Source organism: Homo sapiens, chromosome 13 (genome assembly GCF_000001405.40).
Source record: "Homo sapiens chromosome 13, GRCh38.p14 Primary Assembly".
In the NCBI taxonomy this organism is placed as follows: domain Eukaryota; kingdom Metazoa; phylum Chordata; class Mammalia; order Primates; family Hominidae; genus Homo; species Homo sapiens.
The window spans coordinates 37,473,200-37,493,217 of record NC_000013.11 but is presented as its reverse complement, the minus strand read 5'-3'; the positions used below and the strand labels follow the sequence as shown (position 1 = coordinate 37,493,217).

General features: G+C 36.8%; 2 long non-coding RNA genes across 2 annotated transcripts in view; one reads left to right on the top strand and one right to left on the bottom strand.

The window, feature by feature from the left end:
* Positions 1 to 2,384: 2,384 nt before the first annotated feature.
* The window catches only part of LOC124903159 (uncharacterized), a 128,664-nt gene continuing 111,030 nt past the window's right edge, over positions 2,385 to 20,018 (bottom strand). Inside the window, exons 3-4 of the long non-coding RNA XR_007063761.1 lie at positions 14,515 to 14,613; positions 2,385 to 2,791 (exon numbers count right to left, since the gene is read on the bottom strand). This is a non-coding gene — a long non-coding RNA (uncharacterized LOC124903159). The remainder of the gene's footprint in view (positions 2,792 to 14,514; positions 14,614 to 20,018) is intronic.
* LINC01048 (long intergenic non-protein coding RNA 1048) lies at positions 8,434 to 11,754 on the top strand. Its single transcript, NR_125762.1, has 4 exons — positions 8,434 to 8,513; positions 8,673 to 8,748; positions 8,825 to 8,933; positions 11,491 to 11,754. It is a non-coding gene; the product is annotated as a long intergenic non-protein coding RNA 1048 (long non-coding RNA).

Below are 20,018 nucleotides of genomic sequence, written 5' to 3'. Positions count from 1 at the left end.
AATTTAAACTATGGTCTAACCCAATGTAAATACTATGAAGAAAAATTGTAGGCATTGGATATTTAATTGTAAGACAACAGATACTATGATGTAGAGCCAACATTTGCCTCTATCTTTGAGTTCTCCCAGTGTTTGGGAAAGATTTAGAAACACTTCGTGGCTATGGGAAGGGGAATTCCAGACTGGAAATTGAGTTTGGACCCAGCAGCCTATTTAAGGAGACAGAAGTTATGGCCTCTACAAGATTGCCCAGGGAGATAAGTAATGCAGACCAAAAAAGGAGCACTAGCTCTCAATGCTGGACACCACCAAACCTGTGAAAGCATTTCAGCAGTCAACCAAGACCACAGGAATGTGGTGCTTCTTCCCACGACAAAAGATGATTATGTCTTAAGCAAAAAAGTCAGAGGTCCTCAATATTAGTACTTAACTTAAAAATCACCTTTCTCTCTCTTAAATATATTTACAAATTGCATTAAAATTGGCGAGAGAGAGAGAAAAAAATATTGAAAGAAGAAAAGAAATAGAAAATGTAGATTGCCACTACTTTTTAGAGATATTTGGGGGAATTTTCAGCAAAGATGATAAAAAATCCTCTTGTAAAATGTAAATTTTAATTTACATTTTAATTTTACATTTAATTTTCAAGACAAATTAGGTTCTTATTAGTCTTGTTCATTATTCTGAGTGTCCTTATTGCATGGAAGAGTGCCTGGCATAGAGACACTCCATACGATTTGTTGAATGAATGAACAAATGAACCAGGTTTGGCAGACCAGGATCCACAAAGTAGTTCTATTTTTTTCTTAAACATAAACCTTACCCCTTTTTGGCTAAAATTTTTAGGATTTTGTGGGTGAAGATGGTATTTTGAACCTAAAAATCAGCCTGATCTCAGCTGATCAAAATGTTTTCATAGATGCAAGACTTCTGTTTTCTTGCCAAGAATTATTGTTTCTTTCTGTAAGTCCAGTGCACATACCTTCTTTTTGCATCAACACCCTTAGGCCTATTTTAGTTTAACAATGAGAGCTTCACCAGTAGAACACACACACACACACACACTCTCTCTCTCATTAGCTGCTAATTAACTAGCCCTAGGCTCTTAATCACTTGACAGAAAAAATAATAATCAATCTATTTACAGATTCACAGATGCATGTGTTTATTTGTGGAAATGTCTGGTTCCTCCTGCCAGGGCAAAAGTTCCACTTTACAAAATGCTTCTTTAATTTCACCCTTGTTCAGAGACAGAGAAACCCTTCAAGAGCCAATATACATCTAAGGAGCCATCCATCAGCCAAGTAAATGAGAAACTGAAAGCTTTTCAGGGCATTAATTGAAAACACCTTGGAATCAGCACAGAAATACATTCGAAAGTGTCCTCTCTAAAACCCGAAGCCACTGACTACAAGCATATACTAATAAATCAAAGCCATATGCTACACCTTGTCTATAGTTTCAAAGCGAACTGTGTGTTGTGTCCTCACTTTCTTCTCAGAGGCTTCCCAGGGCCCTGTCCATCATGTCCTGGCAAGGCAAAGGTAGGCACCAAGGGTAAGAACCCATTCATGTTGGTTAATGCGGCTTCTAAATCAGGTGGTAAGCTAGTTAGTGTGGGCATGATGACTGGCACAGTGCCTGGGGCAGAGCAGTACTCTCTGTTTCTTTCACTCTTACTATGCCCATTTAAATACAAGTCACTCTCTTTCCCAAAGCCTCCTGTTTGAATATTTTAAAGTAATTATAAGATTGGAGTTAAAAGTCAATGTTTTGATTTCTCTTGATTTTGTTTTCAGCTTGTGATAGGTTTATTAATATGACTAACCTGAGTTGGTTAAATATTACCTGAATATTAAGATGAATGTACTATTTAATTATATAGTTCAAATGGGAGAGGAAGAAGATTAATTTTGCATTATTTCTTTCTAACTAACATGCATTAACCTTATATTAACACTAATACTATAACAAATACTAGCATAGCATCCTCCTTAGTCAAATTTGCCTATTTATTTACCTTCAAATATCTGTGCCTTTGCTTGTGTCTCTGTCTTGAATGACTTGAAACCTGATCGCTGTCTTTATCTTCCAAGGAAAATGCATGGGAACCGGCAATATGACCCCAGTCCACAGTACATTACCAACAACTCTCTTCTACAGACTGTGTACTAAACAAACATATGTTACACTCATTTTTTAAGAGATTCTTAGGTACTCTATTATCTGCGTAATTAATTGTACAGAGAATGTTTGGTCCACTGATGTTTTACTGATTATTTATAATAATTTATAATAAATATAAACATGTATACATTTATATTTTTATATAAATACTATATTTATAATTATATACATAATTTATAAACACAAAAAGCCAGAAACATGATTCAATATGTCTTTAATCACTGACCCACTTTTCTTAACGTGGGCATTATACTAAAGGTTACATGGGATTTCAAGGAGGATCTTCAGACAGCGTGGAAACTGGATAGAAGCAGTCGCTTGAATGATTCCAACATTCTTCAATAAGATACTATCAGATATTTTTGTAAAATAGAGCTGGCGCCTCCGTTTTTAGATCTTGATGTCTGTGTACAAGATGTCTAAACTTTTCCGGGAAAAAAAAAAAAAAAAACAAAAACAAAAAACTATACAACATCTGGAGAAAAACTTGGAAAAGCATGATACAAAACTAAAATTCCACCAGGGAATATGTGAAAAAAACACAAGAAGTTATCTACTTCAAAGTCTCTTCCTGTTTCTTACAGTTGGTGATCTTTGAAGCTGCCTGCAAATGAACACATCATGCACATAAGTCAATTTCTTCTTAAGGCAACCAGTTTCCATTAAACCTCAATTGAACAAGAATCCTTGCCAATTCATTGTTTGGCAATGAAGGGAATGATTGTGGTGAAAATCACAGGATATTAAAACAGAAGTTATTTTCAGCAAAATCTAGACTGGCACTTATTTTTAACCCTTATACCTAGAAAATAATATGAGATCAAAGTTTACAATGTATTAAGCAAAGCCTACATAAAAGTTATTGATGATTGATGTTTTACTGCTATAGGTGACCCCATAGAGATACATTTCTTAAAATTCTTAGAGTTTAGTTACAGGATAATAATATCAATGAGTTTGGAGAAATAGGCTTCAATTCCTGCTTTCTGAATTGTTATTCACAACTATCCTCAACTACAGAATTATGTACTGTGATGGAGGAAATTGTAACAAGATGGAAAAATAAAACAAAGTCCCTTTCAGAGAAAGCCTTGTGCATATTTAGAGGAAAGATTTCGAAGCTAAAATAAACCAATTATGATGAAAAGGACTTCCTGACTAACAAAAGGCTGTGAAGAAATTGCCCTGTATATGAAAAGATGGAGGATTTGAGGTTCTGAGGAAAAATAAGAATGACAAAATAAAGGATCCAGTAAGAAGGGATACAGAGTGACCAAAGGGAGGATAACGAAAACCAGCAGTTTTGTTATGATGGCAGTGAGAACTTGCAGAAAATAAAAATATTTAATGAGGACAAGGTTTTGTGGTACATGGTTTCACCCTCTCTCTTTCTCCTACAGAATCTTCATTTAAATCTGTATCATTTTTGGTTTAGTGCTTTGTTTGAGCAAATTTAAAGTGAAAAGACATGAAAATGTTCCTATCCAGCTATACAAAAAGGAAAAATCCACCCCAGTAAATGCAGAAGCCACGGGTTAATAGTAAAAAGCTTTAATCTGGGTCACAGTGAAATGAATCTGATCAATCATCATAACATTACCTTCCCTTTGATACATTAATTGATCCTCATGGTATAATTTTTCTATAACATATTTATGTTTCTATGTTATCAATATGCCTTTAGGCACACACATATACATGCAATCCACTTTAATTTTTTAACCTTTTTCCTTCTTGTACAATTCAGTAAGACTATAACTAAAACATGGAAGATAATAATATACCTCAAGCCAAGCATACATTTTGTATGAGAAATTGAAATAACTAAGGCAGCACGTTTTAGTCTCAATTATCTGAATTCTTTCTCAATTTTCATTTTATCCTGTAAAAGAAGAAGGGGAACAGACAGAAGACAGTTGTAGACTCTCTGGGGGTACTGATCTCACCTCTTCTTTATTTCCTGGGGAAATGCTGCTTTTGGAAGTGGCTTCCTTTTCAGCATTAATTTCTTATTTATAATGTGCCAATGAGTCTTGTATTACACTTAATATGGGAAAAAATACAAAATAAGCACTGTGCAGAATATTTGGCAAATGAAGCAAAGAAACCATTTTTTTTCTAGTGTCTCAGACAGGAACTGAATGAAAATCACATTCTTTATACTAATAGTCACCAGAGCTTCAAGATGAATAAAGATTTAGGAAAGTAAAAGATCCACAAATAAATAGACACTACATTCATGTAAGAAAACTATTAAGTAACTATCCTGGACTTCCAAATAGCATTCTGCCATAGAAATGTTTAACTTCCTTGATGCTATCACAAGTAAATAAATAAATAAAAATTTTAAAAACACAAGCTTTAAACATAGCTTTCTGAAAATATAAAATGAAAGGAAATAGCAAATTCATTTTCTGATAGACCCAACATAAAAACCAATGAGTATAAAATATGGAACATTTCTACCTATAAATGGAAGTTAATTTGAAATAAAGGTAAAATCAGTTAAAAAGAACAAAATTATTAAAAGTTATGGGAGACATACTTTATTATCAAAAAATGTGTCAAGCTTGAGAGTTTCAATTCATAACACTTGTATTTCAAGTCAATTATGTATTATAATATTTAAAAAGGCCAATGAGACCTTCAGGAGCAGTGAAAAATTACAATGTATGAAAGAAAGAAAATTATTATCCTATGTTATGTTGCTGAACATTGTGTTAATCTTCCCTCATATTAAGATAGCTGTGGGCAAATGGAGATGTAATGAAATGTTAGCAACTAAGATGGTGTGGGACACTACATCACATGAAGGGAAGTTGACAAAATAGGGTGCAGAACCTGGACAGAAGACTTAAGCAAAAGCTGAGGAAAAGAGAGGGTAGTTTTCTCCAAGTGTCAGAAACACTGTTACATGAAAGAGTTACACCTGTTCTTCTTGTCTCTATAAAGGGGATCTGGGATCCACATAAGAATGTTTCAAAAGTCCAAACTGTGTCATCATGGAATGGGTAGTCATGTTAGACCTCTTTTGCTTATAAGTAGTAAAACAAAAAGAGAAAAAAAGAGAAAGGTATTAACCACACAATTGAGAAACCCAAAGGTGGAGCTAGCTCTAGGAACAGAGGATTTAGAGGTTTCAATAGCTGCCATCATGCTGTCCATTTCTGTTTGGTTTTTGTCTTGTGTTTGGTTTCTTTCTCAGGCAGTCTCTTGATACACAAGAGCAAAGAGGGCCTCTGGAAGCACTGGGTTTACCAGAGTTTGCAATCAGAAAAGAAGAAAGTGGCCCTTTCTCCTTCATCTTCCACTTGACAGGTGTGATGGAGAACCATGACTGGTTCCCAAAGTGGTCACTTCTTGGACCAGTGACTGTAGATGGGGGATGGATGCTGTGAAAGGCCTACCCTAGGCTATGCGTCTGCCCCTAAGAGCCCGGCAACCATAACTGACATCAACAGAACCACTCTGAGTAGAAGAGAAGGCAATGAGGAGCTGTGAAGCAAAAACAAACAGGCAAAACTAAACTAAACTAAACTAAAATAAGAAAGGATATGTACCATGGCTGCTTTGGAAGGCAATGAATTTCTCATCACTGAAAATGTTTGAGCAGAGGTCTAATAACAATTTATAGATAGAAGGCCACAGCACCCCTTCTGAACTGTGGGACAAGTTCTCCCTCATTTACTTGTCCAGCACTTACAACACAGCAGGCCATATGAATAGCATGGTGCACAAAGTAGACAAGATCCCTGCTTTGCAGTAGCCTGTAATCTACGGTCTCTAGTCCATAAAAAGAGAATATGCTTGTCACACAATATGAGTGTGATTAAAAGAAAAGATGTATGTGGAAACTGGCCGTTACCGAACACTATATGAATATCAGCTATTAGAGAGCACACTTGCTATGTGAACACTGGCGTGGGTAGAACAAGCTCTAATTCCAACCACACCTCTTTGGGGAAGTTCATTGTGTGAGTTGAGGTAAGTCACTACCTCTTTGTAAAGCTCAATCTTCAAATTCGGAAATGAAATGAAAGTGGGTGTAAACTCACTCATACATTCCCAAAAACCCAAATAAATTTAAATGATGAAATAATGGAACATTGCCTCCCGGATCCTAATTCTTAAAGGTTCCTTAATACTACCATTTTATTGTTTGAGTGAGTGCCAATTTTTCCTTTAAAATCTGTCTATTCAATGAAGGCAGCCTAAGATATAAGAATTCACAATTAATCTGTGGAATTCCATGATTCATTTTGAGTGAAAAAAAGTGGTCAAAGTGGACAGCTAATCTTTTTTATTGTTTTTTTTTTTTGGTTTTTGGGGGGTTTTCTTGGTGGAGAGGCACTTAAGATATTGGGCAGGATGAAAAAATAAAAAGTTGCTCACCATTCTCTTAGGTCTTTAGATTTGCCCTGGTTGTTTCACTTACAGTTTTTCCCAGACACATGTGCTATGTTGTGAAAGCCCCTGATGTATGATAGGAAATAGCAGGATTAAGAGAAACCTCTAAATTAGATAGCATGTGGCACAGCCTAGTTTCCAAACCATCTGAACGGGAAGGTCGGTTTGGCAGGACTCAGTATGCCCCACATAGGACTCTTTACATCTTTAAATCAGCCACTGGCCAAAGGGAAATTTCCCTCAATCTCCAAAACATTGATGTCATATCAGTATTCACACTCACTTTCACTTCGTTTTCAAATCCGAAGGTCGAGCCTTAGAGGAAGTGAATTACCTTACCACAAGAATAAACAGAAAATAATTTGCAGAAATTTCCTCTTCTCCGAGGGAGGCAAATAGGATGTAGAAACCCTGCTCAGCTGACTGAAATGAAAAGTGCAGGAGCAATCGCCAAAAATCTACTTATGTGAGGACATTTAAATTGCATGAGCAACCCCATCCCTAAGTAAGGACAAGTGCTTGGGAATTAAACACCAATAAAACAGCAAAGCCCATTGTTTTTCCATGTTCAAAGATATAAAGGAGGCTTCTGAGTCAAAGGTTGTTTATTTGATAGGGAGTAGGGGATTGAGATATTAAGTGTATTGTTGACCAGTGGAGTTGGCAGTAAGTTTTGGTGTTTTGAGGTTTTGTTTTTTTTTAATTCCCAGGTTTCCATTACTGCATGCTCCAGTCATTTGGCAATGAGTAGCCACAAATCACTTTGTAACAATAAATGAATGTCTTGTCTAAAGTCTGCTTGTTCCTTGCCTGTTTGCATTATTCTCCAACACAACATTTTTTTCTGGTGAGAGAGGAAAGATGTGTGTGTACATGCGTGCGTGTGAGAGTGTGTGTGTGCACCCACATAGGTGTCTATATTCCATTCTGTTTTGAGGACAAGAAAAGAGTGATAACTCAAAAACAAAAGCAGTATCCTTTAGTTTTTCAACAGTTTCTACAGCTCAAACATTTCCAATCATAAGTGACCCTACTTCTTTTTTGACAGAGATATTCTATTACTTCATAGCTATGTTTTCAAACTTTTTCCTGACCTTGCACACACAGAACACACAAGGCTGCTCCTGGCTGGCAGTGATCAGCTGCAAAGGTGCTCCTCTGAGGGGGATTGGGCAGGGCATCCGCACTTTGATTTCAGATACTGGGAAATGTCAAGCAACTCCTTCCAAAGGAGCTAGGGTGCACATTCTTTCTCTGAAAACCATGTTGCTAATATGATCACCTTACAGACTTGCATCCTCTTTCTCATTTCAAACACATTAATTATCCATATGTTTGGAGTGAAGTTCTTTATGGTTTACCACAAATATAGGCTGTATGGTTTTCCACAAATATAGGCTGCCCTGAACTAGGTGGACCCATTCCTGTAAGTTGCTGGATCTCTCTCCAGAGGCATTGTCTTTGAGGGGATTCCATCCTGTATAATTTTGCTGCATTATTCTGCAATCAGGAAACAAGCAGGTGGCTCTCAAGTAAAGAACTGATGCCTTACAGATTCATAGGACTTATTTCAAAATCAAGTATCAGGAAAAAAGGTAATATTAGGTAATTTTGACCAAAGAATCAGCAATTCAATGACAAATACATATAGGGATGGTGATATGGTTTGGCTGTGTCCCCACCCAAATCTCATTTTGAATTCCCACATGTGGTGGGAGGGACCCGGTGGGAGGTAATGGAATCATGAGGGTGGGTCTTTCCTGTGCTGTTCTCATAATAGTGAATAAGTCTCATGAGATCTGATGGTTTTTATAAAGGGGAGTTTCCCTGCACAAGCTCTTTTCTCTTGTCTGTCACCATGTGAGACATGGCTTTCACCTTCCATCATGATTGTGAGGCCTCCCCAGCCACATAGAATTGTGAGTTCATGAAACCTCTTTTTCCTTATAAATTATCGAGTCTCAGGTATGTCTTTATCAGCAGTGTGAAAACGGACTCATACAGATGGGTATTGTGGTTTTAGGATTTGTAACAGGAAAGAACTAGTGTTTGCTAAACATGGCCTGTCCCCTGCCTAGGTGTCATGAGAGCCACCCTTCCCAAAGTAGCACTTGTGAGCAGAGGTGATCAGAGGGCTTTCTGAAGAGTGAGGAGGTGAGGACACTGCATTTGTTGGGCAACACTGTATTTGAGATTTTTTTCTTTCTAAGTTTTTGTTTGTATACACTAGTGACTTCAGAGGGCCAAAAAGAAGAAAAGGGAGTGAGACAGTCGTTAAGACTCCTAATCCCGGCTTATTTTTACTGCTTCTCAACACAGCATTGCAAGTGGCTGATTTGGTAAGTATGAATGCAGTAGACAAAAATCTCTGTTCTTAAAGCATTCTTGCTAATGTCAGAATATTTTCTGAAAGCAGTTTTGGCCCATGAAGCAAATCAACCTACAAAACTGAGGCTGTGCTTTTTCATGGCTTGTTCATTCTTGCTGCCTCATTCTTGTGCTTTCTCAAACTCTTATTACATAAAGCTCAAGATTTCAACAGATTTTACTCATAAATTATATCATACTAACTTGGTTCATTTTGAAGGTAAAACAGACTTAGTTAAATAACATATTTCAAAGTTGATTCTGATCATTTAAATGTTTGTGGAAGTCCTCCAATTATTTATTTATTTTTTTTTATAGAGTCTTGCTCTGTCACCCAGGCTGGAGTGCAGTGGCATGATCTCGGCTCACTGTAACCTCCATCTCCCAGGTTCAAGCAATTCTCCTGCCTCAGCCTCCCAAGTAGCTGGGATTACAGGCACCTCCCATCAAGCCTGGCTAATTTTTGTATTTTTAGTAGAGACGAGATTTCACCATGTTGGCCAGGATGGCCTCGAGGTTCTGACCTCATGATCCACCCGCCTCAGCCTCCCAAAGTGTTGGGATTACAGGCGTGAGCCACCGCCTGACCTGAATTTTTTTTTAAATGACATTACCATTTGTTGCTTTCATTGTTTCCCTGGGAAATGATGTTCTTATATTTTAAAGATGCTGGTCAAAACTTGAAATTGCTTTCACTTCTTTTTTTCCAGCTGAGTGCTTCCAGAAATAGATTATAATCCACAGTGAACCCTTAAATGCCTCTTTAAAAAAATTGACTACGACTTTATTCCAAAAAATTATGTGGCCACTGTTATAAAATTTTGACTAAAAAGATGTATAAATAACAAAATGCTGATAGTAAATAGTTGTGCCTTAAAAATATGAAAAATAAAAATGTATTTCACACACACAGAGTTAAACCAAACTAGAATTGGAGTGAGCTGTGTCTGTCATCATTTAAGAAATAAGTAAGAAAATCTTAATTACTGCTTATTAGAAAATCTCATCACAAAATATTATTTACTTACAGCTCATTTGAAATACTCATAGCTGGAGACAAACACAACTCTCATTCTAGTTCTTTGGACTTTAAAACTGAAAACATCTGAGAAGAAAACCCTGCTGGCTTTCTTCAAATGTCACAGCAGACTTAATTGCTTTCTATAATTAAACAAAAACCAACTCATTAGACAATCTGTGAAACCAGCACTTATATGTACTTTCAGCAAAGTTTGTGTGGAACAATCATTAAACAATTAGTTAAGTTTCTCTCTTGCATGGCATCCGCACACATGGACAAACACATAGGTATACAATGTACACATGGTTGTACAAGGAATGAAAGGTATCTTTGTGTGAATATTTATAAAGTTCCTTTTTAGAGAACCCAGATTTAATAAAATGTCATGTGCAGTAGAATATTTGGAAAGGCCCATATAAAAAAATCAAAGGGCCTTATTTTCTCAGGTGCTTTCACTGGCAAGAAAAAGAGCTCTTTCTAAATGTTCAGAGGTATACAGGATTTGAGTTGAGAAGAATTTAAATAATCTCCAGCTTTTGATATCATGGTGAAATATAACATTCTCCTAAAAATGTTGCTGAATATAATTGCCAAAAATATGACTAGACTCAGGATGAACAGTTGTTCCGAATATGGATATTCTTATTTTCTAATGCGGAAATAAGAGAACATTAAAATGTTGTGAAATGTATGGGATGGAATATCACTTCATCAGTGCATACTATTGGGTTGAAGTTTCTGGAGAATACTTTGGTATTTGTGCCAACCTCAGACTCTTTAGTGAAGCACTTGTTTTTTTCTTTTATTATTGCCATGGTTTTCAGGTTATTCTCCTAGCTAATGATGGATGCTTCTTTCCAGTATTTTTGTATATTCCCTTTTATGTCTCCTAATCATTCCCCAGTCAGTTTAATCATTATCAGTTGCTATTGGGACTGTGTTAGTTCCTGATTCTATCAAGAAAAGCCTTTTCTCTTTGCCTATTTAAGAGAATTATTTACAATTTATAATCCATCATCAGCTGTCTAATTAGAATACTTGATTTTCCCCACCTTACTTCTTCACCCCCAAAATCACCTGGTCTAATGTAGTCTGCAAAACAAAGCATTCATCACTTTGAGCCCACGCTGGGCTCTCTCTGCAATGTCCTTCCAAAAACATTTCCTTTAGTCAAAATGACTGATTCACTGCAGCTAAACACACCCATATGGCCTGCCTCAAATGCTGACTTTAATAAATTGGCCAAATGAAACATTGAGAATGTCTATATAGTGAGAATACTAACATGCACTTTTTAACAAATGACTGGAGTGTGGTTTTATTGAAAATTACACTGGTAAAAAGAGAGAGATACAGGAAGGGAGTGTGTGCTCATGCATGGGTGGCCATGTTTCCACGGAAACACTTGTTTACCTCATTAGTCCATTCTTTCCTTTCATAGTAATAGAGTTTTTATCTAGATCACATGACCTCTCAGGATGGAGACTATATTTCTGTTTACCTTGCAGATGGATGTGGCACGTGACCAAGTTCTGGCTAATGAGATGTCTGAAACTTAAAGTGGAAGAGATGTATCATCTCCTTTTCCTTGCTCCATCCTGCTACCTGAAAAATGGATGTGGTGACAAGCCCTGGAAAACCACAAGGATGAGAACAGCACTGGAGAGATGGTGCAGCGCATGATGCAATTGCCTAGGTATCTGATGGCTGAGTAGAATTTCTCTCCTCCGACTTTTACATGGGAAGGAAATAAAACTCTATTTTGTTTGAAACTCTGTTATTTTAGGTCAATGTTTTAAGTAGCTGTAGCCATGTACTAATTCTTTCCACGAACAGCCAGGTTTCGCATGATAGCCTTCAGACATCTGAGAGTCACGGCATACACAGTTCTGATAACCTCATGTTGTTATTGCTCTCAGGAACTGACTTGCACTTTGGCTAAACCATCTGGACCTTCAAGCTGAAAACTGAAGTCATTGCTTCAATGTTACCCAATGGATTCTATTACTGGGGTACACAAAGAAAAAGGAGATGTAAATGGGCCTGAGGGAGAGTCTGAGTGCTGGACCTGAGTCAGTTCAGAGACATGATCACAGAATCACATGAGACATTTTGCCAAGTTTTACCAGGGACAAAAGCCAAGGTCTCTTGAATCTCAGCCTAGTGCAGGCATCTTTCTCCTGATGTTTCATCCTTCTTAAAGAACTATCAGAAACCAAATCTTTAGTATAGGTACCTAAGATATTTTTCTAGCTTTTCCCTTTTGTTATTTTCTATTTAGCTGTGTTTCTCCTTGTCCGTTCTTTATTTACTAAACTTTCTATTGAATATCTTTTCTACTTAAAACTAGTCCCATGATTCAAAAGCGGCCCTTGTCTGGCCTACATGGTGAAACCCCGTCTCTACTAAAAATACAAAAATTAGCTGGGAGTGGTGATAGGCACCTGCAATCCCAGCTACTTAGGAGGCCGAGGCAGGAGAATTGCTTGAACCCAGGAGGCAGAGGTCGCAGTGAGCCAAGATCATGCCACCGCACTCCAGCCTGGGTGACAGAGCGAGACTCTGTCTCAAAAAAAAAAAAAAAAAAAAAAAGAGGAAAAAAGAAAGAGTGTGACACAATTTATCAAATATCACCTTGATTCTCCAGAAGAGATCATTATCTTCCTCTGTTCAAGGACTTTGTTTTCCTAATGATAATAATTTAACTTGGCTCCCTGCCTGATCTGAACAGCTCACTATATACTCTGACCATTTTCTAAGTACATAGAGAGAAGACAGCTATATAGATTCACACTGTCAAATGCAGCATCCATTGTCTATTTGACAATTGTGAGAGTTTTTTTTTTTAATGGAATCATTTATATTATTTTGGTCCCTGGCTGTATTACATATTCCCCTGTATTATTTGTCTGCAATTATTTTAAGCCTTTACAAAAACTATTTTTCAAGTATGGCAAAACAGTTTTTGAATTAAACTTACAGGCTTTTTCTACCATGCACTGCCTCAAATTCTGAGCCTAAAGAGCAAAATGTTGCTGGAAAAAAATTTATATACCGAGTTGACCTGGCCCATTTCCATTTCCAACCACATGGGAAAGCAGAATTTACTGTTATTATCTTATTAAATATAATGTGGCCACAAGCTACATCTGTTCTTAAAACTGTTCATGTATTGCCTAAGATTTTTTTCTCCTTTATCTTTCTTCTTTCCCAACAGTAACAATCTCATAACTGCTTCAGAGAGAAAAACAAGATGATCAGCTCAAAACACTCTCAAATTCTATTTAAAAATGCCCTCCCTCATTTCTTTTCTCATCCATCTACTCAAAGAGCATTTCCGTCATCTATTAGATATTTATTGAGTATTTGGGCACTCTAGGAAAGAAAATAAGTATTTCTCAATCACAAATACGAAATAAAGGAGTCTCCTATCTGTTTTCAAGGAGCTATAGTCTCTCAGGAGAAAGTCTTCATGTACACAAATCATTAATATAGAATACAGGAAGTTCTGGGTGTCATCAAGAGACATATCATTAAAGCCACTAAAGAAGAGCAGAAACTTGAAAAGTCATAGTCAGTTTCAGGGACTGTATGTGATCTGGGCCCAATGTAGTTACAATTTGAGAAAACAGACATGGGAGGAGAGAGGTTTTCCAGAGGAAGGAAAAAAGTTGAACAAAGTAATGAAGGTAGAAAAGTATATAAAATGTGCAGAGATATCTTCCAGTTAATCTGGCTTCTCTAATGCAGTAGAAATCTGAAGGAAGAGAGTGAGAGAAGCAAATGTAAAAGACAAATTTGGGTCTGTAATATTGGGCTAAATTGCATAGATTTTATTTATTTTGAAATGGTGAGCCATTGATGGTTTTCTAGTAAGTCAGAGGTATCCAGAAACATTAATCTGACAGCTATCTAGAATGAATGGGAAGGGAAAAATTTGAAATCAGAGATAGCTTGGATATTCCCTATACTAACCTAAATAATAGGCAAAGGAAGCCTGAGAGAGGCGTAGGAGAAGAATAGAGGAGATGGATGGATACAAGGAAATGTAGAAGATCCAGGATTTGACAACTTCCTTGGATTGAAAGAGAGAGAGACAGGCATATTTCCACTCTAAACCTGTTATTCTTTTAAATTGATTTCATGGATAACATTGATATTGATTTATGAACCTAAGTTATTCTTTTAAATTTATTTCATAGTGTTGATTTATGCCCTATTCTAATTTCTAAATAAGAAGTTGCTGAAATTTCAGGAAAGTAGTAAAAAGAAAGGCAATTCAAAAACAATACGTGAATTCATTGAGCCAAGCCAATGGCAAAGTCATATTAAAAATACATGATGAATAGTTCCCTTATTCAGTATAGAATAGTAGCTCAGCAAAAGGGTGCTCTGTTTACAATACAAACAATGATAAAAAGAAGAAACATATGCATCAGAGTCAATGAACCCTATCTCAGTCTGCTTCCTGTTGCTTATAACAGAATACCTGAAACTGGGTAATGTATAAAGAAAATAAGTTTATTACTCACAGTTATGGAGGTGAGGATCCAAGGCTGAGGGACCACACCTGGTGAGGGTCTTCTTGCTTTTGGGACGCTGCAGAATCCCAAAATAGCACAGGACATCACCTGGAAAGGAGGCTGAGCATGTCAGCTCTGGTCTATCTTCTACTTATTAAAAAGCCACCAGTCCCACTCCCATAATAATCCATCAATCCATTAATCCATGAATCATCTCTTCAAGATCCCACATCTCAATTCTGCCACATTGGGGATTACATTTCAACATGAGTTTTGGAGGGGACAAACGTTCAAACCACAGCAAACTCTAAATAAACACTCAACATGTATGTGCCTTTTAGCCAAACTAAAGATGCCAAATTGATTCCACACTGTAATCTGTACTCAGATTAACACTGTACTCAGATAACAAATGCTAAAATAAGTAAAACTGAGATAAAATTGACTGAAATATAGTAATAAAAATAGTAAATTATTTATTTAAAACAATACAAAGCTAAGCATTCTATTCTTTTTTTTTTTTTTTTTTTTTTTTTTTTTTCCTTTTGAGATAGAGTCTTGCTCTGTCACCCAGGCTGGAGTGCAGTGGCGCGATTTTGGCTCACTGCAACCTCTGCCTCCCAGGTTCAAGCAATACTCCTGCCGCAGCCTCCCAAGTAGCTGGGATTACAGGCATGCACCACCACACCCAGCTAATTTTTGTATTTTTAGTAGAGACAGGTTTTCACCATGTTGGCTAGGCTGGCCTGTAATCCCAGCACTTTTGGAGGCCAAAGCAGGCAGATCGACTGAGGTCAGCATTCTATTCTTTACAAACATGACACTTCTACGGTTTCTATTTTCTGCCTTTTATTTTCATTGTAAAAGTGATATTGGAATTGTGTGTGCATCTGTCTGTGAACAATTAAAAGTTCACACTGAGCCCCATTTATAAATGCAATATTTATATTTAAATGATTCCTCAATCATGCTGTTAGCAGTACTTTAAAGAATAGCAACACCCCAGACATTGACTGAGACATAGGCTAAGTGAACTCCAATTCAGAGTCCCTTCTGGAAGGAACGCTGTACGACAGAATTTTCTGAGTACAGTGATCTTCTTCAGTGCCAGGACTGACAAGGAAATGGAAGGTTTGTTCAGTATTTGGAAAGACTGAGAAATAGAGAAGGGAAATTTGGGGGTAAAACAGAGGTAGAGTGAGAAAAATGAACAATATGCCAAAAAAATCAGTGCTCGGATTCTGACTTTATCTATTCCTTATAAGATGTATCTTTGTACATAAGTATAAATCATTATAGACATAAAATGATAAAAGTTGGACACTAGAAGTGGCTTTGAAGTAACTCCATCATAACTCTTTATTTTATGACCATGAAAGCTGTTCCTGGGGAAAGTGAAGTTTTCCATCTCTTCTCTCTATATCCAGTCTTCTCAATCATATCAGCATTATTAAAATAAACGTTATTTCTAAAATGCAATAGTCTATATTTTAACAGAAAGTGCAAACAAGATTTAACTATGAGCTAATCCTCTGAGGTTAGATCAATCCCATCTTATTCCTTTATTTATTGTGGGTGTCCATGTATGGCTAATGACTCAACAGCCAGCCTGTCCTCCGGCATTTGTGCTTCTTCCATGGCTCACAGCTCCTCTGCTTTTCCTCTCTCGTGAGCACTGAGACAATGGCATCTAATCTGAGCCTGGGGATTTGGCAGCTCCTGAGCAGCACTGTGCCACAGTTTATGAGTACGTAAGCTGCTAATTGACTAGATCAAAGAATGGAAGAAGCTACAGGCCACATACCCCAATGTTTCTTGTCAAAAGCAAGTATACAAAAATGGAGTATGATCACTCAAAAACATCAAAACTACAGCCATTTCATTAAAGCATTATGAATTAACAAAATGGATTAAGTAGAAAATTTCCTGTCAGAGGTAGAAAGGATTTATATAAGTACTGACACCTAAAATAGAAACAAATATAAAACTTAGCTTACATATAGGAAAAGCAACTTTTACAAAATGGTATGTTCTGGATGCATCTATCTAAAATTAAGTGGAAATAACTTTTGGTTGTTTATCATGAACTAAAATGTCAAATGTATCCTTCTTAATTATTGAAATTCTGTTAAAATATTTGTGGAAATTATAAGTTTTTGTATGATTTGCAATTCAGGACATCATTAAGAATAGCATATTGGGCAAAGACAACTGCGTCTGGTTAGGATATTCTTTCCAAACTAGGTGATACCATGATATCATGTGTATCACGAAATTAGACCCGACATGTGATTATTGTGAAGTTCTTTGCTTTTCTCTCACTTTACTTATATTTAAATAACTGTGAAAGGGCAAAATTAAAATGTGTAAACAGTTTATTCTAGAACACCTGCAGGAAGTTTTTCTTAATGTTGGCTGCACTTTTTTTTTCATTTACCCCATGAAATACAATAGTAATGTTAGACGAAATGCATATGTCAGTCCTATTTTCAGCATTTTGCCTGGAGGTATAGTTAGATTTTCTTTCTTGAAATCCACACTATTATGTGAGTTCCTGTGGCATGCACTGCTGTGAGCAATCATCATTGAATGTCTACAACAGGATAATCATGAGACTCATGCTTATATTATCAGAATATTGTTTCCAAATGAAGTCATTGTCTTCTTTTCCTGATCTATAGAGTGAGAAAATACAATATCCTAGATGCTGATAATAGATTGTATTGGATAGGAGTGTATTTTGTAAGTATTCATAAATACTCAACCAGTGTATTCCGTGAGTATGAGTGAGAGACTACTCAGAACTATGTTAAAAAATTAAGCAATAGAAAGTGAGTGTGAATACATATATATGTATATAATATCCAGAAATTATCCATTATACTTAGATGAGAAAACAAAGGTGGGATTTTTTTTAATGTATACGATTTAAGATGGTCCACCTTGTACAGTAAAAGCTGAGACACTTGGTTTCAAATACTGACTGCTCTACTGACTGGTTATATAACTTAAGGTTCTTAATCTCTCTAAAACTTAATTTCTCTGTCTAAAAAAAGCAATAAAAATATCTACTTCACAAGATTCCTGTTCAGTATTATAATAGGGTGTTCCTCTCTCCATCCCACTGTTACTCTGACCAAGATGACCTTAATGTTTCCCTTAGTTTGACTAAACTTTTAGACAGATTTCTTTCTGACTATTGGCCCCTGACCTCCCTTTTCTTAAAAGTGTTTACTTTAAGAAAACTTGCAATGTATAAATTCTTTCTATGCCCTTTTGACATGTAAATCTTCTTCTAGCCACTTGCCAGTTTTACAAGCCAGGAATGTCTTCCTCAAGGACCTGAAGGCCATCCTTTTGAAATGTAATCATCAATAATGATAGGGCCCTAGTCTCCGGAGCCTAACTTCAATAAGCAATGATTAGCAAACACAGATAACCACATTGACTGCCTCCCTCCTGATGTCATCCGGGACTTTTCCACTAACCCACCCCAGAGCTGGAAAATTCTCTTGCCTTTAGTTTCTTTTTATTGTGATTATTTTTATTTTAGGTTCAGGGTCACATACGCAGGCGTGTTATATAGGTAAACTCATGTCACAGGAGTTCATTGTACAGATCATTTTGTGACCCAGGTGCTAAGCCTAGTACTCAACAGTTCTTTTTTCTGCTCCTCTCCCTCCTCCCACCCTCTAGCCTCATGTAGGCCCCAGTGTCTGTTGTTCCCCTTTTTGTGTCCATGTGTTCTCATCATTTAGCTCCCATCTATAAGTGAGAACACACAGTATTTGGTTTCCTGTTCCTATGTTAGTTTTCCTTTTGTTTCAATAGAGTTTAGTTCCCCCTATTGCAATAGTCTTGAATAAAGCCCTCCTGGCCTGGTTAACTTGTCCTTTGCAATTTTTCTTCGACAAGTCTTCTAGAATTCTCCTTCTGTGGTTGGGGTGATATGACCCTTGACTACAAGCTCAGTACTGATTGATTCAGGACCTAACAGTAATCCAATTTTGAATAAGATGTAGAGAAGTTAAGAAATTCTAGCTCAATAACTCAAGAGTCAGTAATAGGCTGACTTTAATCACACGGTTTTAATAATGGGTGTTTTACTTGGCTTCCAGAATAACATCCCACTTTGTTTCCTTCATAGGCTATTGCTCTTGGCTTCTCTAAAGAAGCTACCTTGCCTTACAATCTATCTATTACCCCATTACTCCAACATCTTGCTATTTTCATCTTCTCATCCCACCAGGAGCTAATCCAAGTTCATGCATCCTACATTTGTTATGTGACAGTTCCTACAGGGACCTTGCCTGATTTTGCTTGATGTCAAGATCCTCAGCACAATTTTGTCCTGCCTGTCTGCTTAGAAATATCAGACAGTCTGCTACCTGGGCTACTGAATAACCTACATTGCCAAACGTCATTGTCAAATGGAGCTATTTGTCCCGTCAAACTGAGCTACCATTCATCAGAGCTTGTTAGGTGCCTAAGCCTCTGCCCTGAGTTTTGTTCTAGGGTACAGAATGTGCAAACTGTGCTTTAATATGTTGTGTTTCATTTTAAAAATCAATTTAGGCATGTCATTTTAGAATGACTTGTATTTATGGCTTCATATTCATTTTAAGCATATTGTCTTTTATTCAATTTAAGCACATTGATTTAGAATGATGTTGTGTTTTAGGATACCTGATAAGTATGCAGAGAATTCTTTGGAGGATAAAATGAAATCCACAAAAAACTTTCGAAGTATTAAAAAAAATTCAATTTACAAAGAAAACAGCAAAGGCAGGAGGGATTACTAGAGAGGCCTCTGGGGTTCCCAGGAATCAAGCTACAGTATTGGACACAAATCTCCTCTTTCCATCTGGTGCATATACTGGGCATGGAGAAGAAACTCAATGAAAACAACAAAAGAAATAAAATTTTCTATTTTCTTCCATTTTCTTCTTCAATTAGGTCTACCCCTAATGAAACAGATTCTTCTTTTCACTAACTCCCAGGCTGCATACACTTCTCCAGGAAAATCTTCCCCAAGGAATTATCTGTGAATGTGCTCTTGGGTACCAAAACCATTCCTTCTATTCTGCACACAGTGAGCACTACATTTATTGAATTACTTTTTAAAACAACTTAATCACAGTCACAACAGTGCCTTTTCTACAAAAAATAAAGATGGGTTGTTGTAAATAATCACATTCTGCCTCTACCCAAATCAGTAAGAATACATGTGCAAGATAAAAGTAGAAGTGAGTTTTTATTACTTGCAGAATTCATTAAAGAGAGACAATGCCTTGAACTCAAATAATATTCTGACACGTTGGCTGTATCTGGCAAATGGGCTAAACCAGTGGTTCTCATTCAGTAATTTTGCCAACATTTGTAAACATCTGGAAACTTTTTGGCTGTTACAACTGCAGGGTGGGGGATAGGGGATAGGAGGCGTGGTGGGGGAGGTTTGGAGGGCGGCATTGCTACTGCCACCTAGGGGTAGAGGCAGGGATGCCGCTAAATAT